At 41.6% G+C, this 27,068-nt stretch overlaps 1 long non-coding RNA gene across 1 annotated transcript in view, besides 2 other annotated features; it reads left to right on the top strand.

The window, feature by feature from the left end:
- The first annotated feature begins 1,021 nt into the window (after positions 1-1,021).
- The window catches only part of LINC01894 (long intergenic non-protein coding RNA 1894), a 55,206-nt gene continuing 29,159 nt past the window's right edge, over positions 1,022-27,068 (top strand). The window contains exon 1 of the long non-coding RNA NR_146903.1: positions 1,022-1,644. This is a non-coding gene — a long non-coding RNA (long intergenic non-protein coding RNA 1894). The remainder of the gene's footprint in view (positions 1,645-27,068) is intronic.
- Positions 9,292-9,849: an enhancer, noted in NCBI's record as "NANOG hESC enhancer chr18:22559116-22559673 (GRCh37/hg19 assembly coordinates)". NCBI's record gives its function as "activates a minimal SCP1, AML or CMV promoter by ChIP-STARR-seq in primed H9 embryonic stem cells {active_cell/tissue: H9 hESC(primed)}" and the evidence as "EXISTENCE:reporter gene assay evidence [ECO:0000049][PMID:30033119]".
- Positions 24,578-24,657: a silencer, noted in NCBI's record as "silent region_9369". NCBI's record gives its function as "represses an Ori minimal core promoter by ATAC-STARR-seq in GM12878 lymphoblastoid cells {active_cell/tissue: GM12878}" and the evidence as "EXISTENCE:reporter gene assay evidence [ECO:0000049][PMID:35858748]".

Below are 27,068 nucleotides of genomic sequence, written 5' to 3'. Positions count from 1 at the left end.
AGTAGAGACCAGGTTTTGCCATGTTGGCCAGGCTGTTCTTGAACTCCTGACCACAAATGATCCACCCGCCTTGGCCTCCCAAAGTGCTAGGATTACAGGCATGAGCCACTGTGCCTGGCTTGGTCTTATATATTTTTAAATGAAGTGGTTGTGTGGGTAGTTACCTGTCGGATTTGCACCATTATAAAAACAAATACAAACTACTTGGCTCATTTGCAACAAAGTTTGTGCAAGAACTGTGGCAAGTGAGCCTCCTGAAGTTCAGGAACTGCAAGAGAGAAGGGTTCCTGTGAGAGCCACTCCCAGAGGTCTTGGCCAATCAGGATGGCTTCAGCAGTGAGCAAGTGCTGAGCTGAATTCAGGGGCCTCTGGAGATCAGTGCTGCTGGGCGTGGAGCAACTTACAGTGCCCCACACAGCCACCCTGAGGCCAAACAGGATGCCCCCTTTTCCTGCTTCCACACATATTCCTTAGACTTCTCCTTTTTTGTGATATTTTTCATTTTCAACTCAAACCTGCCCTCAAAATCGCTTAAATCTGATTGTGTCTTTGTAAACATGTAGGGAGTGAAGACACACCATGTGATTCGCCTCGGGCCCCACACACCCTAGGGATCATTCTTGGATCCTCTATGCTTGGACGGGACACAATTGTTTTAGTTACGTAGGACCAGGAGAATTTGCAAAGTTATCAACAAGAGCATAGGGTCAGAGAGGAAGAGTGAAGCAGAGACAGTGAACTTTAGAAGCATAATCTCATTTAATCTTTCCAATATCCAGAAATTGAGGATTTCTTAAATTCACATATACACTGAGGACCAGGAAGACTTGTTATTAAAGTTACCCATGTAAGTGGCAAAGCTGGGCTCCAAATCCAGGCTGGGTTGATTCCAAGGCTCTTGTTTTTCACTGCGCAATTCTGAAGGCAGCACAGGTTCCTGAACAAAGTGTTCTGGGCATTCCAAACTTTCAACTGTCACCAAAAAGCCCAGCAAAAATGGGGGGAAATCCTTCAGGGAACTATTCTCAAGTGAGCCACAGGAAGAGTCCTGTTTTGAGGGCAAGGCTTTTCTTGAAAACTACACTCTCTATGCAGCTCATTCCTGAAGAAGGGCTTTGGCATGTGGAGATTATGCCCTCTTGCTAGGGTACTGGAAGGGATCCATGTGGTATTGTCCCAGCAATAACTCTGCCACAGAGATATGCGATCTCCAGCAGCTGTCGGCAGGCTTCACTCCCATTCCATCCTCCTTCCTGCATCCAGTAGTCTCCCAGCCCCGCCTCACCCTCCCACTGCTCCAGAAGAATGACAGAACTCAGAGCTGCAAGAGAAAGAAGACTGAATTCAGTCTCTCTTGCAGAAAAATTGTTTTCCGTCAAGTTGATAATAATGATCACACTGAGAATGAATGACTCAAGATGAATATCCAAAGATATATCAAAACCTGGTCAGCAGTCGTGGGGAAAGGAAGAAAGCCTGAGTTGAGTTTATGAAAGTTTTCCACTAAAGTCAGCAACAGCTTAAATTCAAACCAGGCACAAGACGCTTGAATCTCCATATGAGTTGTTCATCAAAGGGCTGAAAGAAAAGAAATCTGAGCCCGAGCACGGTCTGGCCTAAAAGCTTTCAAGTGACTCCTTTCTGGTAAGGAAACTATTTCCTTTGTCTGTACATGTTCAGGAAAACTGCCTTTTTGGAGCCTGGTTCATTCTCAATTCAGGTCACAGTTATTTTCACCAGTTAAAAGAAAAAATCCTAAGCATGGAAATGTCTGCTGTTCACCATACTCACACTCACAGATGCACACACACACACACACACACAGTTATAAATACACAGATCGTGTTTATTCATACTGGAATACTATATGACTTACATGTTTATTCTAGGCTGATTTCAACTGGGGTGAAGCAGCTAGCACTCTGGTATTCAGGTTATCTATGACTCTGTTTGCTAGAAATCAGGGAAGTCATGTACCATGATATTGCCAACACGCCTTTAATAAAAAAAAGCAAGCTCAGAGCTTAAATCCAGACTTCTTTGCTAAGGAAAGTAGGCTATTTAGACAGGATTGCATTGATTAAAAGTGAGGAGGAATAGCCAAACTCCACAAGGAAATGAATCTTCGTGGCTACCCCATCTCGGGCTTCCTTTCTTTCAGCACTTGGTTTAGACAAATGGCTCTGGAGTTCGCAGGGTTTGTTCACAGTCAGTTGAGAGGGATCTCCCCTCTGCTCACTTGATTTTCAGCTTGCAAACCCTTACACAGCATTCAGATGGAACAGTAGCTGGGAGATCATGAGGGTCTTCCGGTGTGTTTCTTAACAGTGTGCCTTAACATTATTTTCTCTTCTGGCTTTTGTTTCCTTTTTTTCCTGTTTCATTTTTTCTTTTATTTTTTTTCTCTGTAGTCTAATGGGATTCTTAGAAATTAGAGCTGAAAGAATCTCTTTAAGCTTGTCTCCCTTATCCCTTTTCAGGGCACAGTTTTTAACCTAGGGTTACATTTCCATTTTTCCATCAAGGCCCCTTCTAAATGCCTCTAACTGTGGGGCTCCCACCACTTCCCTTGGGAGACTATCCCCTGACCTCACAGACTTGGCTGTAAGGAAGATTTTTTGAGAACCCATCCACCAACTCTTCTTTCCTTGCTTCATGCTACTCCTCCAGGCTGCCTCTCCTGAAGGTGGATTTGGGTTTCTGCATCCACTGCACTCCCTGCAGGAGGCACAGATTTGATATCTACACAGAGCAATGGCTATTTTTACAGGGTTCTTTTTTGGGGGAAATGTGAGTCTGCTTCTAGATAATCTGTCAGTGGACCGAGATTATAACACACCCAATTCAGGAGACTTTTACATTTACATTTGGTGTGGGGTGAAGCAATAGATGAAATGAAATCTGAATTTTGCCTATTAGCTTGTCTTACTTGCATTAACTAGTTAGTGGAAAATAAGTCATGTTGATAGTACCCTTTTCTGTTTATTAACAAGATGATTGGATTTCTCACAAGGCTGACAGGGTGTTTCTGTCCATTTTTAGAAACTAGTCCAAATAGTACTGGGGGAAAGAAGAAAGTGTTTCCCCCTAGTCCATAGAATTTCTCGGCAGAGACGACCCCAAATCACGCCCTTTGTAGACATGTTAGAATGTTCTGGCTGATGGCCTGCTCACACACCACCAAACCACTGGTGGAATTTGGTTCCCTGTCAGCCTTTCTCCATGAAACTTGAGACTCAGGAAACATTCAAACAGATCCTGAAGTTTTAGAATCATAAAAGCTGCCCCAAAATGAATTAATAATAAATATTTTAAAAGATTTATGACTATTTCTGAAACCTTAAGTAAGACAGGAACCAAGTCGGGATTTGCCCAGAGTGCAACAAATTGTCTTTTAACCCTAGTTGGGAAGAGAACAGCCATTCTTGGAAAACTTAGAGATCTGCCTGATTACAAATTTACAATTTCCTTCCTTATGGCACTGTGGAAAAAATACGTTAATGAATAAAAGCATGTGCAGCTTCCTTTATTTCTGTCACACAATGCATGTCAGTTGTGTAACTATTGCCTACCTTTTAGGGGGTCTCCTTGGGGTAATTGCCAGAAACCTAATGAAGTTTCAGGAGCCCAGAAAATTTCCCAGCTGAGTGGAAATGTTGTTTCAGGGGAAACAGTTTAACACAGCAGAATTGTCTTCTCTTATAAGCCAACACCCTTCCCTTCTTTTCCCTTCTTTGCCCAATGTCTCAGTTTTACACATTTTGCTTTAGCAGTTACTCTCATTTTGAAAACATCCCTTTCTCCAATGCTAGGCCCTGACCTACCCAGGTGGGGAAAAATTTTTGCTTTTAAATATCTTGTTACACCAACAGTTCTTTCCCCGCCTAGCTATAATTTTCATCTTCAAACTCATTTTGGGCATAGGAGTGAATTCCTAGTAAAGGTCCCCAAACACCTAGAGGTCCTGAAGGTGGTAATGGGAGTCTATATATTTTACATATTTCAAAAAGCCTAATGGAAATCACATATTTACTCAGAATAAGGCTGCAGAAAAGATCGGTACAAGTTCTTTGATTTGGTTAGAAATATAGCACGTCCATGTGTTAACGACGGATAATTTGTGTGGATGGGAAAGATGTCGATGTCAGCACAGGGACTCTGGGGTATGACCAGTAAATCTCAAGCTGTTCTTAGAGCCCCCCCATCAACTTTGGTAGATAAAAGCCTTTGGAACAAATAGTGTGAGGTGGGGAAGGGGGTGCAATTTCTAGAAGGGAGTTTGAAGCTGAGAAGGTCAAGAATCATTGCTCTGTAATGTTCCTTAAGTGACCCTGTGGTCCTATAGGGCCAGTGCCTTTACTTTTGATGGCTTTCCAGAAGGAAGGGAGGTTCTAGGAGGAATCCAGTGACCCAAGGATTGTTAGAGCATCTTATCTGACTTCTTCCTTGCATTTCTTCTTCTGATAGAGCAGCAATGTGTTGCAGATTCCAGGAGATTGCAGGTTCCCATTCCTGCTCATCGCGGGCTGCATCAGTGCCTTGTTTTCTCTTTCTAGGAAATTAAAGGAGGTGACACCATCTATTTCTTCATTCCCTGCAGAAGAGGGTGAATAAACCAGATATTATCAATGTTCAAATTCCTTGGAGTAGGATACTTTGTAAATACAAGTTGTTATGATCTTATTAGTCCAAGAAAAGCAAGAATACAAAGACCGATACAGTCTAAATGGGGCCCTATATATTTTTATATACAGGTAAAGAAATATATGTGTATAAATATATACTTATGTATATTTTATACATATGTGTACATCTTACATGTGTATGTATACACACATTGTTTTTCCATTTTTGGTCTGATTTATTAATAATTAGTGTTCCACTAGAAAATGAGTTTTATGTGAATCATGCACACACTGCTGAAATTGTTTCAATGGCAGATCATATTTTACCGTTGGGGTTTCATAAGTCACTGCGGAGCACAACACCATATCCATATTCATATTTCAGATCTGTCAAGACACCCGGATAGTTCATCTGATCACATGGATTTCTATTCCAGGCCTTGAGAGACAAGAAATCCGGTCATCACAGAGAGCCTGGGCAATTAAACTGAATCAGTGCTCCGGGTCTCAGCGGATGTCTTCTGGGTTACCATGGGGGACATGGGTTGGTATGAGGTTTAATCAGGCACTAACAGCACCTTGCTGGGAACTTCATGGTTGATAAAGGCAGCCGCATCAGACCAAGTAGCTCCTACTTTTTAAAGAGAAAGCAGCCTCTTTTGAAATGTAAAAAAGGCAGGCTTTGTTGCAGCATGCAGTATGAAGAGAATCTGAGAGGAGTTGCAGTTGTTTCTTTCATAGGCCCTAGCATTCTTTCTGGGTCTCGATAATAAAGTGAAAGGCACCCCTAAGGCTAAATTTTTAAAGGGCCCTCTATGAACCCCAAGCTGGCCAGCCCTGTGGGCCCCATTGCTGGTCCACTATTATGTAGGATTTCGCTATTACACTTGTCATTGTCATGCTGCTTTGTGAATGACATTGGTCACAACCAGGTTCTTGTGCCATTTTGAATAGCTGGATCCATGTGCAAAAAAAAAAAAAAAAAAAAAAATGAGGGAGAGAGGGAGAGAGAAATACCATCCAAATAGGGCCCAAGTATGTGTGAACGGGAGCCTCTTCTGAGGTCTAATTGCACTTGTCTCTGAGGAGGAGAAATGATCTTGAAGGAGTTATTCTTTGCCCTGGAATTTCATTTTGCAGTAACTCTTTTCAGGCAGTTTTTAGTCTCAATGAACGTGGGAGGTGTGGTTGATAGTCCTATTAAAAGAAGTCTTTAATTTGTCTATATGTAGACTGACTATGTAATTTCTCATTAAAATCAGGACACTTTAGTGAAAGGGGGTATTAGTCATAATCACTCAGAGACAACAGGCATAAACCAGGGTTATTCCAGGCACATGGTGACTCAACAGGCAGGCTGGCTTTACAGCTTCTAACAGCAGAACCCAGGCTTCCTCACAGAGGACCCCTGCCCTAAACTCGGAGGCAGGTCTTGGAGAGTCACAGGCTAAGACAGTCCACTTAGCAAAATCACAGGAACCCCAAGTATGCAGATGAAGAATATATAATTTAAATAAAATAAAGAGACAAAATGTTGCTTCATTCACAACTGGATATCTCTGTATTCTTTTCTAGAGTTACAGAATGCTAGTGGCATCTTCTTTACTATTATTTATCCCCTCTTTCCTCTTTTTCTTTTTCCTCATCTCTCTTTTCAAGCTCTGAGACACTCAGCAGTGCCTGTGTCTCTTGGTGGCCACAGCAATCGGGGTTTACAAGTGTGGTCCTTCCCCATCCCCAACATCCTTCACTTCTGCAGCTGCCAGTGGCCTTCAGAAAGACACATTGAATCCCTTGTAGCTATCGGATGGGAGCCTCAGCGCTTGCCTTTCTCATCTGATTCTTCTAGAGCTACTGAGTCACAGCATCAGTGCTGGGATGCTTGATGACAAAAGTCACTGCACCCCTGCCAACCACCCTGAAGCCTCGGAGGAAATTTTCTTGAAGATAGTGAGGGTCAGGGAGCAGGAAGGGGGTGAAATCAACCCCAGAACTCCCGTCACCCACTTGCCACCACTTCCACGACTCTATCCTTCCCAGCACTTGCCGGGAGCCTTGCCCCAGAAAAGAGAAAGGTACCAAAATCTCTTCTCAAAAGCACCCAGATACTGCCACAGGGTTTGTGTTATTTTCCCCACATTTTAATTCTATTTAGTTACTGTATTCCACTTCAAAACAGGACAAAGAGGAGGAAGAGTAAAAGAAGAAAGGGAAGGTTGAGGTGCTCCTAGGGAATAGTCTTGGGGTAAAGTAACACAGGGTGACAGCTATTTTGAGGCAAAGGAGAGAAAGAGCAGGAGGCTAGGGATATGATCAGGATAATGAAATGTTGGTGACAAAAAGGTCCAGGAATGTAGTCAAGTGTCAAAGGGCCCTTGAAGAAAAGAATTCCCTTTACTCGCCACAAATCTTTTTTTTTTAAGCCAGTTCTTAAAAACTGAAACAAAACTTTGTGTCTGTTGTCACAATTTCTCTCCAGCGTGAAACATGACAGTATTTAAGCCTTCATTGACACATCCGGAGTGCCCCAAAGAGAAAGGGGTTAATTGAAAAGGTTGCAAACCTTCCAGTACATGGGACTTGAAACGGATGTACATGGGTGTTCATGTGTATGTGAGTGTGTTCCTTCCTGGGCTTCTCTTTCTAGAAGATTTTGATGGTGGCTGCACTGTATCTTAACTGTCAAGCTATTTTTTCCCTGCTAGCTTTCATTTGTGTTTTTCCTCACCTTTCCGAGACCCTTACCTCTCCTCTCTTAAATCTACTCACCACAGAGCAGACATAATCCCAGATTTTCAGTAAATCAACACTATATGCTCCCCACTGACTGAGAGAATTTGATACTGACAGACTGTTATACCTAAAAGAAAAATACTGCCATGGTTCCTCACATTCTTCGCCAGGAAAAGAAGGCAGGGAGGAGTGTGTGTGGGATCCATTATAAATTAGGCAACACAGAGCCCACTATTCTTAACGTGTATTTCATGAAAGTGGATGCATATGTTACCCTACCCTTGCCCACGTCTTTGACCAAACCAACCTCAGTACCTGGAGTATTTCCAAACGCAATTAACTCCCTTCAGTACCAGGGCACTGGTGATTTATTCGGACTACAGCAAGGGTAGAGTCCACTGCCCGAGAGAATGCACGGCCCTCCACATGGGAGATCGAGGCTGAAATGTGGGGACTTTGAACGCCACACGTTGCAAACTCTGGGCTCTGTCTTATGAAGGCATGTTCTGGCTGTGGGGTTGAAAGAGCGGTTTTCTTTTGTTATTCATCCCTGTGTCGATGATGGGCATGGTGGCAGGATTTAGACTTTGTGTTACCAGGTCAGAATTACTGAGAGCAGAACTGTCTTCAAGGTTTCTGAGTCTATCTCAGCTTTAAATATCAGATCATGAGCACATGCATAGATTTAGAACTGACTGTTTTTAGGAGATTAGGACTTCTACCCATATGTTCCAGGGCCTGGGGTTGGGAATCCAGGTAACGACTATCTAGGGACCACAGTAGGCAAAAATGTCTGGGGTAAAGTAGTTGGCAGTCGTGGTCTTACAGTGATCCAGTCATCTCTCAGACCAGTGAGCATGGAAGACCGAGTTATTGCTTGGCAGACCTTGGATGGAAGTGGCTACCAAGAGATCAGGAGCTACTCAAGGGCAGGTGCCATGCTTTCCCCAAGGAACAAACACCAGTCCCAGTATACACTGTAAAGGTGTGTGCAGAACAGGGAGTGGGTTTTTAACATCAATTATACTTCAGAAAGGATGCAAATATATGCCCCTCTTGGGAATTCACAAGCCATATTCACTTATTGAAGTCTATGAGAAATCCTTCTGAAATAAAACCAAACTTCTTATGTTTATTTGGTCAAAGAACTTCCTCCTCCCTACCCCTTCATAACACCTCTTAGGTGCTCACAGAATTCTTCAGGAAGGGCTGACTTATTCATCTCTCTGTTTCTAGTGCCTGTCACCATGACCAGCACCGAGAAAGTGGCAATATGATCTGTTCCTTTATCCCACACATACGGATTGGGCCCCAGGCAATGTTCCAGGTCCTGGGGATATAGAAGTAAACTAAATAGATAGTTCCTGTCTAGTGAATCTGATGTTCTAGTCTGTTCCCTGTAATCTCAGTTTGATCAATGAGGTTCAACATCAACCCAATCCCTTAAAGTCCCTTTAAGTGAACTCGAGCCAGCCCAAGCCAAGCAGGTGAACTGCTGGTGGACATGACCCAGCAAAGGAGTCCCCAGCCACTCCTACAGGGTACTTCAGGCAGCAGACGACCCCGCTGCTAGGTGGCTTATGGGGATCCTGGGCATCATTGCATTCAACTGCATGAGCCCCCACAGCCTGCTGGTGTCTCTTCTGCTTTGCAGGGCGTCATGCTTTTGTCTGTCAATCCCAGCCCTGTGGCTGCCACAGCATGTGAATCTGAAGGAAAATCACTCATTTTCACTTTTTCTCAGTTTCCTAACATATAGCAAATAGGGATGATTAATAATATTCATCTCCCATTTCATATCCCCTTTGGGAGATAGCAACCTCTCTGTAACACATAATATAGTGCCTGGGCCCTCTGGGCATTCAAGACTATTTAAATTATTTCGTAAAAGCAAATTTCATTCCTTTTATTTCCTCCTTTTCAGCCTCTATATGTATTTTTTTTCCATAGGCAATGTTTCTCTTCTGGTTTTTGTTTTGTTTTCTGAGGGCAACGGCTGATGAAAGGAAACAATCACCCCATCCTCTGTGAAGCTGAAAATCCCCCAGTTTCTCCTTTGGTGCCCAGCGATACCACTGAGTGTCAGCATGCGTCTGTCTCCTTCACTCATTTTCCAAGGACCCTCTCCATGTTTTTAGTAATTGATTAGGGGCCCTGCAGAGGTCTCCTGCACCCCCTGTGGTCTGTTTCATTTGTGATGACCACACCTCCCTCACAACCCACTGAGATGTCAAAAGCTGCTATTCAGAGGCTGGCTGATCCATTGAAGTAGGTTTTGGCTGGGAAAAGTCCCCCTCACCTCTTCTCCCCGCCCCTCCCCACTGTCTGGATCTTCCTGAGGTCCTCTGGATCACCAGGAGCTTGGCAAGCAGGGAGCTCAAACTCAAAAGTGCTGGAACCACGGTGCAGGGTTTGTCTGGGCTCCCAGCCTCCTCACCCAGCACATGGAACCTTGCTGGGAAATATTCAGCATGTGCCTGTTACAGATTAGTTCTTCTCTTCCTCATGCTCCTTTTTTTGCCACACTGTTTAGGGATGGAGGTTCTCCTCAGCCTCTGGAATAAAGCCTATTTGCTTAGTATAATTCTACCCTCTCCTGGCTTTATGCTGGGTCCAATCACAGATTTTAATCAATAGCCACAAGTACCAGACTTTCTTATCTCTTCATTACTACTACATATCAGAACCCTATTTGCTTGTGTTCTTGAGAAAGACAGAGAAAGCGAGAAAGAGAGAGAGAGAAAGCGAGAGAGAGAGAGTATACTGACTCTGAGATCTTGAGAAACTAGCCCAATTAGAAGCTACCATAAATGGACTCTTAGGAGAAAGTTGTGCCTCTAAAAGTTCTAAGTAAGCTCTTCAAAGATGCCAGACAATCAGCAAATGTGTGATGACACAAATGAGTATGTGTAAAGCTGGTGAGACCTGCAATTGACATTGGGACAATGTCCTGGTCCTACTATAGTTACACAAGATGTTACCATTAGGGGAACCTGGGTGAACGGTCTATAGGACCGTTCTATATTATCATTGCCATTTCCTGCCAATCTATAATTACTTCAAAATAAATAGTTTTAAATATTGCATGGCGAGACTAAGCAAACATTTTGCTCCAGAAAAGTAGTTTAAAATTTGGGTGCTATTTATAGATCCTGCCCACTTTTTAATGACGATAAGACTACAGCACCCAAGCTTTTCTCAATAGACAACTTACTGCAGACCCACTAAGGTGGCAGGCACTGAGGATGTATATTTAGCATGGTTTTCACACATGTTGCTGAGAGTGGACATTGGATGAATGATTGGATGAATTTAAAAATAAATGAAATACCTTTCACAACATCTGGATGGCAGGGGAGTCAGAGTTGTCCTTTTTGCAGCAAAATGGCTTAGTGGTTTGCAACAGAAGGTAGAACCTGAATATATAGTGTGGTTGCTACATTTGACTATAAAAACAGGGCTTGGAGCAATAAACCAACCATGATTATAATAATAGTGACCGTGTCTTTCAGTGTTGGGGACCCTGAGAGTCAGTATGGTTTATCTCTATATCCCTACTCTAAAGAGCAGGTGACTACTTTCACAATGAAAAGAGGGGAGCCACCAGATCTTCTATGTACAAAGCCTCTTTGAGCCTTTTTGAGCATGTGGGTGTCCTTCAGAACTGAAGCAGACCTCCAAGGCCAGATATTTAATACCTGAAATGAAGTAATTCCACTGGAGTAGAATAAGAAACATCAGCCTGGGAACAATCAAGTTTCAAGATGAACCATCCATGTGAACTCTTTCTGGAATATTAGTTCTATACTACCTATGCCCTCATCCTCCCTCCAGATGGTGGACAGCCTTGCCTGCCCTAGCCAGGCTTAGCTACTCAATCTGCCCCAGGCTGGAAAAACCTCTGCTCATTTTTGACAAAGTTGAGAGGAACTAGGCACAGTGGGCAGAAAGTAACAATCTCCCCTGTGCACAGAAATTAAATATGGCTGATAGCCCTGCACAATCTCATTAAATCATTCAATATCTGTTACAGGGAAGAACAGTTAAGGACTCTGTGGATCCAGAAAGCTGATAGAACAGAATGGTGGAAACTACGGTCTTCTCTAGGCAAAGCCTTAGTGCAATGAAAGACTTTCTGTTAGAGCTCTCACCAAAGAGAATGAGCTGTTGCCTGAGGAGGAGTGTGTCTCCATCCCTAGAGGCATCCCTACAGAAGCTGGGTGGTCATTTAAATGACGTAGGATGGAAGGGATTGATGCTCAGGTTAGAGACTTGAGTTCAATAGATGGTCTGTCCCAACCTTCTAGATTCTCAATGCACACACTTCATCCAAGGACAAAATGGACTCCTGAGAAAGGTGTGAGACCCAGGCAGAGATGGGCAGCCTGTGAAACAGGCAACAGATGCTCACCTTGTCATCTCTATCTCTGTCTCCCCACCAGAGCTCAGGACAATGGCCCCCAGGAGCCACTGGATGTTCCATTTTAGTCCTGGCTTGTACGGAGTGCGCCCTCTTTCTGAGAGGAGGTGAGAGGGAAGGGATGGAAAGGGCCAGGCTCCCTGCATGCTCCCAGGGACTGCAATTCTCTCCCAGTAGGCAGGAGGATGGGCAATTACACATACAGAGGGGTGTCTGGTCAAAAGAACCAACAAAATCCCATGGCTTAACAAAAGCCTTCAAAATCTTCTCTGGGAAAGAATTCCAGGCTCTCCCAAATTGTAACTCATTGTATCACGAACACTTACTTTGGAAATCATGTCAGATTCTAAATTTGAAGAACACTTCTAATATCTGAGCACCTACCTACTGGGTGCCCAGGGTAGTGCTTGGCGGTTTTACATCTTTGGCACAGAGATAGGCATACATGTCTTATTGTCTAACAGTAGTAATTTTTTTTGCAGACTTTGATTCTATTATAACAGCTCCAGTATTGTGCAATAACTGCCGTCACTCCAGTGGAAGCATTGTTCCTGGTCTGTGACTTTTATTTCACGAGTAGATAAAGATTTAAGAGGGAAATGACTGAGAAACTTGTGTTTGGATTAATGTAAATAAGACACAAGGTTTTCATGCCCTTCTGCTTTCACTGGGGACTCATTTCCCTAATACAGTCTCGTTGTAAAACAATCCACTCCTGAGGAGGTCAACAGTGAAAAGTTTGTCTTCTGAAATTAGTAATCAAAGAGTGAAAATAATTAATAGAGAAAACAGTGCAGTTCCACACTGCGTTCCCATGTAGATGTCTATAGAACAATAAATCAGTAGGGGAAAGAAACAATATAGGCATTTACAATTAGGCCTCATGCATAATGCCCTGGAAGGAGAATTTGTGTTAAAAAAGACAACATCTGCTGCAAGTTGGTTTATAAATAATACAGCTAGATATTCAGGTAATGACATGACAGACGGTCTCTTGTGTCCTTGTCCTTTCGTGTCCAGTGCTGAGTGTGTTTACATCCCGCAGCTTATGACATACATGCCTGGCCTGCTTGTGCTCGGGCCAGGAGCCTCTCTCTTCTCAGTTAAATGCTTCTTTACCCAAACCATAGCATTCCACATTGACGACCCAGATATCCAGAGAAATCTGCTCCATTTGGTTTTAATTGATCCCTTACTGTGAGAAGGTAAGCGCCTGAAAGAAGTGTGATCAGATGCTCATTCAGTACTTTCATCCATGAACCAATTTCTTTTGTGTTGACACCCAGGCTTGACAAAAAGAGTGATGGTTAAGGTCAAGTGCATGAAAGCTAATTCTAAACAATGATGGATGAGCCAAGGCTTGGGCTCTATCTTATCTAGGATGTTCTGCTAAAAGGTTGGATATTTTCTCCCCATTTTTAAAAGTCCTCTTATTCTCAAATTAATGGAGTTATCACAGATCCAGTATTTGTGGGGATCTTTTCTTTTATTATTCAGCTCTTTGCCACTCTGCTGACAGCAGTGTGAGTGATGGCCTTCAAGCAGATGATTCTTCTTTGCCATGAAGGAACTGATAAATACTGCCTGTCTCTGCAATAAATTGTGCATGAAATAGTCCACTCTGGTAATCTACAGAGTTATGGTAAGGAAAATGGCTTTGTGAGGAAATACAGCAAAACTGAAATTAACTGAAATCCAGTTAAACAGAATCTCTAAAGAAGCTGAATTATATGTTTGTTTATTTGCTATTGTTTGTTTCTATTTATATTCATCTTTGGGGGAAAATAGTAGTGTTGTCTGGGGCTTAATCAAAAAATTCATTTTCAGGACATTTAATGTAATTAGAGATTTATTCCCAGCTCTGGTACCTTCTATGTCCTCAGTCCTTACCTATGAGATTTCCCATTTATAATGATGACCCAGAGGCCAAGCAGCACCCAGAATTCACAAATAAAAATAAAAATAAGCTTATGAATTTCCATTTCCTAAAATGAAGCAAATTTATGTATGACACACATTTGTCAATAGTAAAGACCGAATAAAAAGATGCAAAAATTAAAGATTTTAAATTAGAAATCTCAAGCTCCATTTTAGTATATAAGGATTTTTACCATACTTAGTAACACATAATGCATTTCTAAAAAGATTTAAATGAGTTGTTGGGATAATTTTTGTTAGTTTATTTGGATAGGTGCTTTAGACTTCAGTGTTTTGTTGAAGTGGTTATAGAGTCTTTTCTGAAATATACACATGCTGTTAGATATCTCTCTCTAGGATATCTATATCTATGGCCACTATAGAGATGTTACCCGGCTTGTAAACTAACTGAACATGTTCTCTTTCATTTCCACACATTGACCTAATATGTGCTAGGAACTCATTTGTAAACCCAAATATTTTGTGTCTTTCTCATGGATATTAAAATGTGCCCTGGTGTTAGCCTTTCACAATAGAGTATAAATTTAAGTCAATGCGTTGACCCTTCCAGGCATCTTACCAGTGTCAGGATGATCTCAAAGAGTGAAATCAAAATGTTTGTCATCATTAAAAAAGCATCAGTGAGCAAGTATTGTGATGAAAACCAAAAATCTCTTAACATCATGGTATTGTTGAGCTGAAAGAAAACTTGGAAAGCATCCAGTAGCTCATTCCAATGATTTAGGCTCAATTCATATTGAGGCCCTGCTTTATGTCAGGCAATACACTGTTTTGTGAAATCTGCTGTTTCATTTAATTCTTACAAAACCGTATGAAGTTAGGGTGATTATCATTGTTTCATAGATATGGTAACTGAGTCCAACAGAGTATTAATTTATGGGCTCAAGATCATACAACCAGTACACAGCAGAGCTGGTATTTAAGTATTCTGGTTCCCAAAGTAGAGGTCTGTCCGTTACAAGACTAATTGGGAAGCATATTAAAAAGAGCAGGAAACACAGGACTTACCACTGGTGTTCATAATGAAATTCTTGGGAGAAAGAAGAAAAGAGAAATCCTGGTATCATTAGCTTTTGCTACAGTAATGCTGTAACAAATACCCAAAACTCAGTGGATTAAAACAACCATCAAGTATCTGAGGATCAGCTGGAAGTTGGCTGATTCAAGCTGGGCTCAGCTGGGCTTAGCTTCAAACTTCAGTTTGGGACCAGGCTTGGTCTATATGTCTCTCATCTTCCTTGGACCAGTGGACCAGTGAGAGCATTCTCTTATCATGGTAATGGAAGAAGCACAGGAGAATAAGATTAACCACCTAAGGACATTTCACATCTCTTGTTTGTGTCACTTCTGATGGCATTCTATTAACTCTAGAGGAAGAATAACCCCCATGGGTTCTTTGTTGGGAACAGACCCCTGTAACAAAAGTGATTACCAAGAGAAAAACAAACAAGTTTATTAACATGTATATTTCATATATACATGGAAGACACCCAGGGAATGAGTAGTTCTCAAAGTAGTGGCTTTGAATTTCTGCTTATATAGCATCTTCAACAAAGAAAGTTAAATTTTTAGAGAAATGACAAGACATAAAAAGACTTTGAGACTCTAGGATAAGTAACTGGGAGGAAGGCAAGTAAATGGCAGATAAAGGCTAGTTAGCAAAGTTAGCAAATGTGAATTTCTCTAGTACTGTGTCAAAGCCAATAAGGATCTCAGGTTGTCTTCAGTGGTTTATCTTTCCTCTCTTTGGTAGAAGGGAAGGGTGGAGGGGCAGGATATCCTCATGTCTTGGTAAATCTAAGTCTTGCTTTTAGACAAGTAAAGGCAAATAGAGGGATGGCAGACAGCATTCCTGTATCTGCTTCTTACTAATCATCTTCAGTCCAACCATCCTTCATATTTGGGGATGGCATATTCTGGTCTCCCACATGACCAAAGCAAATTGCAAGGTCAAATCCAAACTCAAAGGTGCCATTAGTAGGAGAAACCCCATCTCAGGATCCTCAAAAGCCTCATCTAATCACGGCATCGGGCTCAAAGCCCATGATTTCTTAAACCACATCAAGTTTGGGTTGATTTAAAGACCAAAGAACTGAAAAGGCAAGATATGTGCTCCCTCCTTGCCTAACACACATGGTAGAACAGGGACAGGCCCTCTCCTCTTTGAAAAGGAAAGGATAAGTGGCCTATTGCTGCTCTCATTCACAGCAAGACGAAAAGTCTGCTGGGCAAAAGTGTCCAAGCCCTTCCCTGGGATTAGTAATGTTTCTCCTCCAGGCCCCAGTTCTGCTCCTTAGGGGTAGACCTTGTGTCCGCTGTTCTCCACCACTCTTGGCTCCACCTTCTGGAAGGTCTTTTTTCTTTTTTTTCTCAACATCTTCTTTGGCTACTTCTGATGAAGACAAGAAAAGAAACTCTTTTTAAAGGCTGAGTAGCTTCTTCAGAGAAGGGATGTTTATAGCTCAAACAATTTCAGTCCTTTTCTATGTCCAGCAGTGCTTTTGCCAATACAGCAGTTCTCTCTTACCCAGTTTCACTTTCCACGATTTCAGTTACCCACGGTCAACCATGGCCCAAAAATATTACATCCAATTAGATATTTTAAGAGAGAGGGACCATACGCACACAACTTTTATTATAGCTTATTATTATAATTGTTTAATTTTATTATTGTTAATCTCCTTCTGTGCCTAATTTATAGATTTTATTGTAGGTATATATGTATAAAAAAACATAGAGGCCAGGTGCGGTGGCTCATGCCTGTAATCCCAGCACTTCGGGAGGCCAAGGCGGGTGGATCACCTCAGGTCAGGAGTTCATGACCAGTCTGGCCAATGTGGTGAAACCCTGTCTCTACTAAAAATAAAAATTAGCTGGGCTTGGTGGTGCACACCTGTAATCCCAGCTACTCAAGAGGCTGACATGAGAGAATCGCTTGAACCCGGGAGGCGGAGGTTGCAGTGAGCCGAGATCGCACCATTGCGCTCCAGCCTGGGCAACAAGAGTGAAACTCCGTCACAAACAAACAACATAGAATACATATAGTTGGGTTCTATCCATGGCTTAGGACATCCACTGAGGGCCTTGGAACATAACCTCTGCAGATAAGAGGAAACCACTGTGTACGTTTCTCAAAAGTTGTGTGGGTTTTCTGTATATTTGATTCCAGTCAATTCCATGTGCCCAAAACTCACTCTTAGTTATTTCCAAGACAGGCCTCTCTCTCTAGAATCAACTAGGAGTATTTTGGCCTCATTAGATGTCTGTAGAACTATGCCTAATCTTCCTACAAGCCTTTTTGCTTCGCTGAGAAAGCATGTTAGACACCATCTTATTTCTTTTGTAGCTCAGACAAAGTGTGGAACAGCCATCCCTCTGATTTGGTTTTTATGTTGAGAATATATCTTTTTGGCAGTTGGATTTGATTTTTTCATAGTCTCTATCATCATGACCACACCCTTGGTTAAGTAAAAAGTCAGTTTTATTTTCTACATTGAGATTTCTGGATTTTCTATATTTCCTCAAAATTTTGCTTGCAAAAATAGTCAGCTATTTTCTGAGTTCTTCTCCTTCTCAGAGTTTGTCAAATGCAGCTAGGCAAAACAGCTCAAGCTTTCAACGTTCTGCTTCCTATCTCCTCCCTCAAATCTACAAATTCATTAAGTACACATTCAACCTTCCAGATTATTGCCGGCAATAGCTTACCAGTGTTTGCCATGGTGTTAACATGTGCATGCTCATGTCATACCATACGCTCTCAGTTTTTCAGTCTCCTGCAACATGTGTTTGCATGGCTGTTTCTGTTTTGGTTTGTTTTTGGCCATTTTTTTTTTCTAGCTCCCTATGGTAGCTTTTACACCAGTTACTATCCGGCTCCCACATATTTTAGGTTTTCGTTATGGAAGTAATCTATTATGCATTCCTGTATTCATCATTTATCTACCATAATGTTCCATAAGAAACCATCTCAAAATCCAGTGGCTTTTAAAAACAGTCATGTTGCTTATGCATCTGTGGGTTGCCTAGGGGCTGGCTGATCCAGGCTCGGCTAAGTTGGGCTCCATTCCAGGCTGCAGTTTGGGTCCAGATTTGGTCTGTGTATCTCTTTAGACTAGTAGGTTTGCTGCATCATGTACTTCTTATGGCAATGGTAGAAACCTAGGCACATTTGGTGTCTCTCATGCATCCTGTTTCTTTACATCCTATTGGTAAAAGCAAGGTAGACCTAGGATTAGCTTTTTATGGCTGTCGTAACAAATGACCACAAACTCAGTGACTTAAAACACAAATTTATTATCTCACACAGTTCTGCAAATGAGAAGTCCACCATGGGTCTCATGGGCTTAGCTCAAGGGGTTAGCAGGGCTGTGCTTCTTACTGGAGGATCTGGAAATGTATCCGCTTCTAATTTCATTCAGATTGTTGGCCAAATTCAGTTCCTTTGGTTTGCAGAACTGAAGTCCCTGTTTTCTGGCTGACATTCCAGCAAGGGCTCATCTTTGCTTCTAGTGCCTTCCAACATTCCTTCCCATGCCTTCCTCCCCATCTACAAAACCAGCAAGGACACATCAAGTCCTTCTTGTGCTTCAAATATCTCTGACTTCCCTTGTACTGAGTCTCTTCCACCTTCCTTTTCTGCCACATTTCTCTGACTGACTCCAGCCAGAGATATTTCCCCATTTTTAAGGGCTCTTGTGATTAATTTGGCCTACCTGGACAATCTGGGCTACTTTTCTTGATTTAAGATCTGCAGCTTTAATTTCATTTGCAAAGTCTCTCTCAGGCCGCATATATTCTTGTTAATTGAATAGCCAGTGGACAGAAACATTGAGTTTGGTCCACTGCAGACCCTAAGTCAAGGGGTGCAGACATGCCCTCTAGTCCACCATGAGGCTAAAGCATGTCACATGGCAAGCCAACATCAATGCGGGTGAGAGAAGCATAATCTTATTAGAGACAAGGGAGAAAGAGAGTGAATATATTTGAAAAATCAAAACCAAGGATTGGCACACTTTTTCTGTAAATGGCCAGATAGTAAATATTTTAGGCCTTGTGAAATATATGACTGCTGTCCCAACTATTTAACGCTGCCATTATAACTCAAAAGCAGCCATAGACCATACACAAATGAATGGGCATGGCTGTGTTATATTGCAATGACACTTTATTTGCCCACAGGCTGTAGTATACTGACTCTGATCTAAACTGCCCCAGTTCCCCATCTGGCTTCTTCACATATAGAAGAGGCTTTGGCATTAGAAGGTTGTGTCTTCTAATATCAGGTGAGCCCCAAAGATAACAAAACAACAGAAATATTAGATTCTTTAGTAATTTTACCATTGACAACTATTTATCTAAAAGTTTCCTTCAAATTGGTATGTTCCACCATTGAAGGTGAGGTTCATAAGCTGAAATATTTCACCTTATTATCTGTTGATAGGTCACACAGTGCAAGATTGCACCATGCTTTTGTGGGCAAATAACACACTGCCCACAAAATAAGCCACAAATTTCCTCCTTCCCTCTGTGGGAAATATGCATGAGGAATTCTGCAAGATTTCTCTTTCTATGTGTTACAATTGCAAATAGAGGGAGGCTGCAACTTTTTCCTATAGGCCATGAGACATAGAGCTTTCTAAGCTTAGCTTGGGGCAACACTCACAAAAATATAAAGGAGGTAAAGTCTCTGGATGTCTGTTGTGCTTCATGCCTGCCTTGGTGGCTGAAGCAGGTATAGCCTAAGCTGCCTAAGTCCCTTGTGGACATGAAGCAGTGGCCTCCCTATGTAAAGACTGCCCGCTATATTAGTCCATTTTCTTACTGCTATGAAGAAATGCCCAAGACTGGGTAATTTTTAAAGAAAAATAGGTTTAATGGACTCACAGTTCCATGTGGCTGGGGAGGCCTCACAATTGTGTCAGAAGGTGAAGGAGGAGCAAGGGCATGTCTTACATGGCAGCAGGCAAGACAGCATGTGCAGAAGAACTGTGCTTTATAAAACCATCACATCTTGTGAGACTTATTCACTATCATGAGAACAGCGTGGGAAAAACCCGCCCCCATGGTTCAATTACCTCCCATGGGGTCCCTCCCACAACACATGGGGATTATGGGAGCTACAGTTCAAGATGAGATTTGGGTAGGGACACAGCCAAACCAAATCACCCCCAACTCCTATGGGTGCAGCAGAGGCATATTGCTCTTATTAAGAATTTCTAGCACATTTCCCATGGGAATGGGAAGGAGTGCCAGAAATCCAGAAATGCTTGTCTTATGGAAAGACCCTTGTCAGAAACCTTAAGAGTCCTCCAGGGTTTAGTTCACTTCAGCCTGATAAACACTGAACATCTACTGTGTGTCCAGCATGGGGCTAATAAAATAAAAATGGCCACCAGGTCCTTCATGTGGCCCGTTGACTGTAATGGCAGCCCATTATTGGGGCCCATCAGAGGTGCTCAGGCAGCCTCTTTACATTAATCTTACTAATTGTTTGACTTTCTTGAGCATTTATTTATGGAATATTAAGGATTTTTTTGTAGCAGCTGATTAAAAGATTGCTATTACTGAAGAAAAACATGAATTAAAAACAAAAGCTGCTGGTAGCTTTTATCCATCATCAAGGAATTAACCAATTGGCAACAAGCAGGACAGCTCAATTTCTTTAGATATCTGAGGCCTACATAGCTTAATTGGGGAAGTATGTTAAAAGGAATGGAGTGACATTCATTATGGATTAAGTTAATACATTTCTGACCCATCACATGGCTTAATTTAACAAATTCCACATCTTACTGTTTGGCAGGAAATGGCATCTTATGAACATCATTACCAGTCATTCTGACTTGAGTCAGTGGAAAAGCCTGACTCCATCTGAAAACCGTTAATCTTAATAATACTGTGCCTTGTCTTGGCAGAAGTCTCCATATGCTTGGGAAGCCTAGGACTTGCTCCATACTCTAACTTAGCCTCCCTGCCTTCCCTCTCCTCCGTAACAATCAAAGTGAGAAAGGGAGGAACAGCATCTCCACCTTCCAGTTAAACTCGTCTGGACTGGAGCAGTGTTATTCACTGCTGGGAAAACCAGATACCTCCTGCTATGATTACCATTCGATTTTAAATATAAATAATTAAATTATGATATGTACATGTTTCTATGTCATTAGATCAATTATAGTATCTTTTCATGTAAAAAGGGAAAATGAGAAATTTGGTGAAAAATACCACAAATCACTGTTTTTTTATTATTGACCATCTACCATGAACCATAGAATCTACATGATCATCTCATTTACTCTTCTAAATAACTGTGCAAGATTGATACTGCTACCCTGAATTTGCTTATGCGGAAATTGTTTCAATAAAGTTACATAATTTTCCCTGATGGAAGCAGGTTTCCAACCAAATCATATTGACTCCAGTCCTTCCGATTTACACCTTCTACTCCACCACGTTGCCTTTGGAGAACTGGGGCTTTACTCACAATGCTTGAAGCAATCTATTTCCCTTCCTGAGTCCAACCAAAAGGTTTCATTTCCAACTTACATAGGTAGTACTTGGTTAAGTCGTCTCTTAAGTACTTGGTTATTATTGAGAAGGGATTCTCCCAAATTTCCTCCTTCCCCCTGTGGGAAATATGCATGAGGAATTCTGCAAGATTTCTCTTTCTATGTGTTACAATTGCAAATAGAGGCAGGCTGCAACTTTTTCCTATAGGCCATGAGACATAGAGCCTTCTAAGCTTAGCTTGGGGCAACACTCACAAAAATATAAAGGAGGTAGAGTTAGCCTACGTTTCAGCGTCTCCTACTCTCCCTTAATTACCCATATCCAACAATGCTACATGAAAAACACCACAAAATCTTAGTGGCAGCAATGGTAAGCATTTATTTCTTATTCACTTATCTACAGCTATCTTGGATTGCTCCACTCTAGGCAGAGGGTGTAGGTTTTAGGCGCTACTGAAGTGAGCACCTAAGCTCACCGAGCTCACTGAGCTGTAGGCCCTGCTGTGGATCAGCAGATTGACTAGATTTTGCTAATCTCAGCTTGTCTTGGGTAGGTTTCAGGTCTGCCCTATTCTGGGGCCAATGGGGTATTTATACTAATAGAGAGGCACTAAGTCACAAGACAGATGAGAAAAAGGAGGCAGTGCTCTTAAGGGTCAGAACAGATGCACTATCCCCTCTACCCATATCTGTGGCCAAATCAAGTCACATGGCCAAGCCCATCTTCTATGGAGGTGAGAAGCGGGAGTAAATACTTCTTAAAACTGATCTAGCCTACAACATTCTTTGCTTAACAAAGGGCTTATTAAAATAATTTATACTAAGGTATAAATAACTGATAAAGATTGGTGTTTCATTCCCTTTAGTACCATTTATACCACAACAGGGGCAGTGAGCTTTCACTTAAACAAGAAGTAGGGTGCTAACTGCGTAATTTTAGATGTTAATGAAGCTAGTGAGTAGAATTTAGGGAGAAGGAATATATGATTAGAATTCATTGAACTGCAAATAAAAGAATACCCTTCCAAATCTGGCTTGAGCCAGGGATTGGAAAACTAAGGTCCATGGCCAATACCTGTTTTTGTAAACTAAGATTTATTGAAATAGAAAGAGCCACACCCATATATTTATATACTGTCTATGGTTGAGTTTGCATAAAATGGCAGACTTGAGCAATGACTATGAGGACCCTGTGGTGAAAAGACCTAAGATATTTACTATCTGGCCTATTAAGAAAATGCTTACTAACCCATAGCTTAAACTATAACAAGAAGTCCAAAGGCAAGCACTCTCAGTCCTGCCTCTTGGTTTTGCAACTCCACAATGCCATCAAGGATCCAGGCTCTTTCTATCACTGCACTTACTCATCCTTTTTGTGTTCGTTTTTCATCCTCATGCTTGTAGCCTCATGGTTGCAATATGGATGCCATAGCTCCAGAGATCACATTTTGTGTTTAAGAAAGAGAAAGAGGTGGTGCCAGATAATTCTTCTCTTGTGCCTATCCTTTTAACAAGAAAGCAAAAGTTTTTCTAGAAGTCTCCCCCAGGAGACTTTCTCTTAAACTTCATTAAAAAGTATCATAAGGCCATTAGTCACAGGGGAATCTGGAAAAGTGATTATATCACAAGGGAAAAATCAATTTCCATGTTTGGCCTAAGCCAAACATGATCCAATGTCTTGGGCCAAACATATCACTGACCTAAGAAGGAAAATTACAGTTCTATGGGCAATGAAGAAGGGGAGAATGGAGCTCTGCCACAGGAATGCTGGGAATAACCTATAAAATATAGTTTACTAGCAACCAGAGGCAAGTCTCCATCCCAACCCCTCTGAACACCAGCCTAAATTATGTGCACATAATAAATGCCTTGGTAAATACAATGAGCACCTGATCGACCCCAGTGGACCACCTGCCAAAATTGTCCTTGTTATCTTGGAGTGGCTTTGAGGTTCAGCACCTACCAATGAGCATGTTCCTTGGATGAGACACTAGTCCAGCTTCAGAACTTAGGGCCTTTCCCAGAAAAACTGACCTGGAGCTGGCCATTTTACCATGGCCATAAATGCAGTTACATGAAATACAGCCCCTTACAAGAGTTTTCTAAGATATGCAACTCACTTGCAGACAATGTCCAAACCTTACTTATATCTCCATATACAATGGCTAGCTTTTATTCATTGCTTTGGCATTTATAGATCTTCAATTGTGATCCAGGTACTGCTCTAGGACTTAGAAGTAGAAAGATGACAAATTCACAGATCAAGGCCTGTTGGGAGATCACCATCTAGTTGAAGAGGCAAACATGTAAAAGAGCAATAATAATGTTTTTAAAAGCTAACATTTATTGATCACTGGTTACCTGCTGGACATTCTTCTAAGTGGTTTGGTTTTGATTTTTTAAAAAACGTTTTAACTCATTGAATCATCAGAACAAAGTATGGGGTAGGTGGTACTACCTTTTTTTTTTTTTTTTTTTTTTTTTTTTTTTGAGACAGGGTCTCACCCTGCAACCCAGGCCAGAGTGCAATGGCCCAATCATGGCTCACTGCAGCCTCGACATCGTGGGCTCAAGTGCTTTTCCTACCTCAGCCTCTTGAATAGGGACCACAGACACACATTACCATGCCCAGATAATTATTTTAATTTTTGTAGAGATGAAGCCTCACTATTTTGTCCAGGATGGTCTTGAACTCCTGGCTTCAAGCAGTCCTCTCACCTTGGCCTCCCAAAGTGCTGGGATTACAGGCCTGAGCCACCATGCTGGGCCCAATGCTACCATTATCCTTTCTTTTGTAAAAGATGAGAAACTGAAGCAGAGAGAGATAAAGTCATTTGCCCCAGATCACACAGCCAGTAAGGCATAGAGCCAGGATTTGAACTCAGTGAGTCTGGATCAAAGCCTATGTGCTTAATCGCTCTGATGAATTTCCATCAAAATATGATAAGTGCTAATGAAACCTCCATTGCAAAATTATGATGGTAAGAGGAACCTGACACTGTTGACTCCATCTTGCTTCTAGCCTCCCAGCTGTCTTTGGTAATTCCTGGGTGTAGGCCAAGTGAACTTTGAGAGGAATTTAGTTTATAGTCCCAAAACTAAACTGCATTTGTAAAACTAACAAAAGGCCACAAAGTTAGGATTGTGAGAGGGGCCCAAATTCTGCTAAAATGTAGGCATAGTTAAATGATAACCAGCCATTGTTTTGGAGGTCACAAGATTTGTGACTTCCCCAGTTACTCCTGTAGTGATGTTATCATTACTATTGTGGAACCTAAGATTGGCCTTTAAAGATGTCTTTTCAGACTTCTGCATTGCTAACCACAAGCTGACTCCACCCAGACCTGTGACTTGTCACTCAACTGGTCCTTTGGCCCCACCCAGAGGCAGACACAGTGCCCGAGGACCGTGAAATCATAGGCCACACCCCTGTGATTTCATCCCCAACCAAGCAGCAGCACCCATTTCCTAAACCTCTGCCTACCAAACTATCCTTGAAAAACCCTAACCTCTGAGCCTTCCGGGAGACGATTTGAGTAATAACTCCATCTTCTGTGTGGCCAGCCTTGTGTTAATTAAACTCTTTCCTTACTGCAATACTGTGGTCTCAGGGAATTGATTTTGTCTGTGCAAAAGGCAGGAAGAATCCATTCTAAGAAACCTTCAAATCTGGTGCTTTTGGGTGCAGAGAGGTGAAAGCATTTAAGTCCGTCTACAGAGAGTTTTCATGAAGAAAACACCCCATGGACTGGGCCCTGAAAGACAGAGTTTGCATATAAAAATGAGTGAGAGGACTGGATTTCAGAGAGAACCTCATGGGCATGCATGCAAGAAGGAGAAAGCAGAATTCAGAGTTCAATATGCAGGAGTTGCAGGTAACTGAACTACTTTTACTTGGCAACATAAACTGGTTTGAGATGCACCTCCTTTCGTGTACCCTTCCAATCATTTATTAGAAGAAAATCGCAAATGCTGGAAAGCTGGAAGAAGAAGGAATTCAAAACATATAGATAATATTCATGCAGAACAGTTCACCCATAAATGAAGAATTGAATATTTGTGGGAAATATTTTTTTGCTTCTGTGGAAAAGTGCCCAAATGCAGCTTGTCTTGTTATGGTTAGATGAGTCTTAGCCAAGGATCGGTCTTTGCCAACCATTTAGGACCAATCGAATGCAAATTTATCTGCGATTGAGCAAAACAGAATAAATAAAATAACCAAGCCCATTAGAAGGTACTTTCAAGAGATTGAATCATTAAAGAACAGTGCTGAGTTGACTAAAAAGTAGAGGAAATCATCCAAAATCAGTTTTCACTTAGATAGATGGAAACTAACTAAATAATTTAGCTTACTTGGAGATGACTTCATTAATTTGTTCATTCATTTAAGAAATATATACGTAAGTGTATATTATCTATATTATATATATTTATATTATATATATTATATATACACATAAGTGTATATCTATATTATATTATATTACATATATAATTATCTATTATCTATATTATATTACATATATAATATATAGTCCCAAAACTAAACTGCCTTTGTAAAACTAATTATATGTAATTATATATAATCATATATATAAATATATATTACATAGATTATATATTATATATGTAAAATTATATATATATTATCTATTGAGCACTTCTTATTTAGCCTCCCTTCCAGGCTCTGGGCACACAATGGTAAACAGCTAGACCAAGTTTGCCCTCATGGAGCTTATATCTAGTAGAGGAACTTACTTAATAAGGAAATGCTCAGTGGGTACCTATTAGTAAATGGACTGGATTCCACATGCAGGCTTGTAAAGCATACATCTCTCAGGAGACAGCCTCTCACCTCTCAAGCTGTTGTAGGAGAGAATATTTGTGTAAGAGCATTGCATGTGCTCTGAGCATTTGTGTGGGTGGCAGTGGTGTGCATACAGCAATAAGAAAGATCATATTCAGTCTCTACTTCTCTCTCAGTGGCATACATGGGATCTATTAGGTTGGTGCAAAAGTAATGGCAGAAACCACCATTACTTTTGCACCAACCTATAGACTACTAAGAAATGGGTTTGTAAAGCCATTAAGGCAGCTTTGTCGGTTGGCAAAACGGTTCTGGAGTGTGAGGGGCCCAAAGCACCTTCGCATAAGATTCTTCTCCAAATTCTAGACCTATTAAGAGATGGACACAGCTGGGTCTGGTGGCTTATGCCTGTAACCCCAGCACTTTGGGAGGCCAAGGCAGGCAGACTGATTGAGCTCAGGCATTCGAGACCAGCCTGCAACATGGCGAAATCTCATCTCTACAAAAAAATTAGCCGAGTGTGGAGTCACACACATGTAGTCCCATTTACCTGGGAGGTTGAGGTGGGAGAATCGCTTGAGCCTGGGAGGTCGAGGCTGCAGTGAGCCAAGATCGTGCCACTGCACTTGAGCCTGGTTGACAGAGTGAGATCTTGTCTCAAAAAAAAAAAAAAAAAAAGGGATGGACCAGAAATTAGGCAGATGGAGGGCCACATATGAGCTTTGTCTCTGATAAGGAGATTTTAAAGATTACAGAGTGCTTAGATGTGTGGCCACAATTGGGCTTCCTCACAGTTTCCTCTCTGAACTGAGCTTACCCACCTAGCTGCAGACTATTCCCTGTCACCACCAACGGGTAGAACCCACATAGTGAGCATGGTGCAAGGAGAAACAAAGAATCTCTATATCCTGAGGACAGGCCACTTTGAAAAAAAGAGGAGAGCCAAAAAGAACTGAAACGTGAATACCTAGCCCCTTCTTCCATCTTTAGCCTTTGGTAGACAGATTACATATGTAACAGGAACTCAGGAAAAATAGTCT

The sequence above is a fragment of the Homo sapiens genome, chromosome 18 (genome assembly GCF_000001405.40).
Source record: "Homo sapiens chromosome 18, GRCh38.p14 Primary Assembly".
Lineage (NCBI taxonomy): Eukaryota > Metazoa > Chordata > Mammalia > Primates > Hominidae > Homo > Homo sapiens.
The sequence above is the reverse complement of the archived record's forward strand: the minus strand, read 5'-3'. Positions and strand labels throughout refer to the sequence as shown.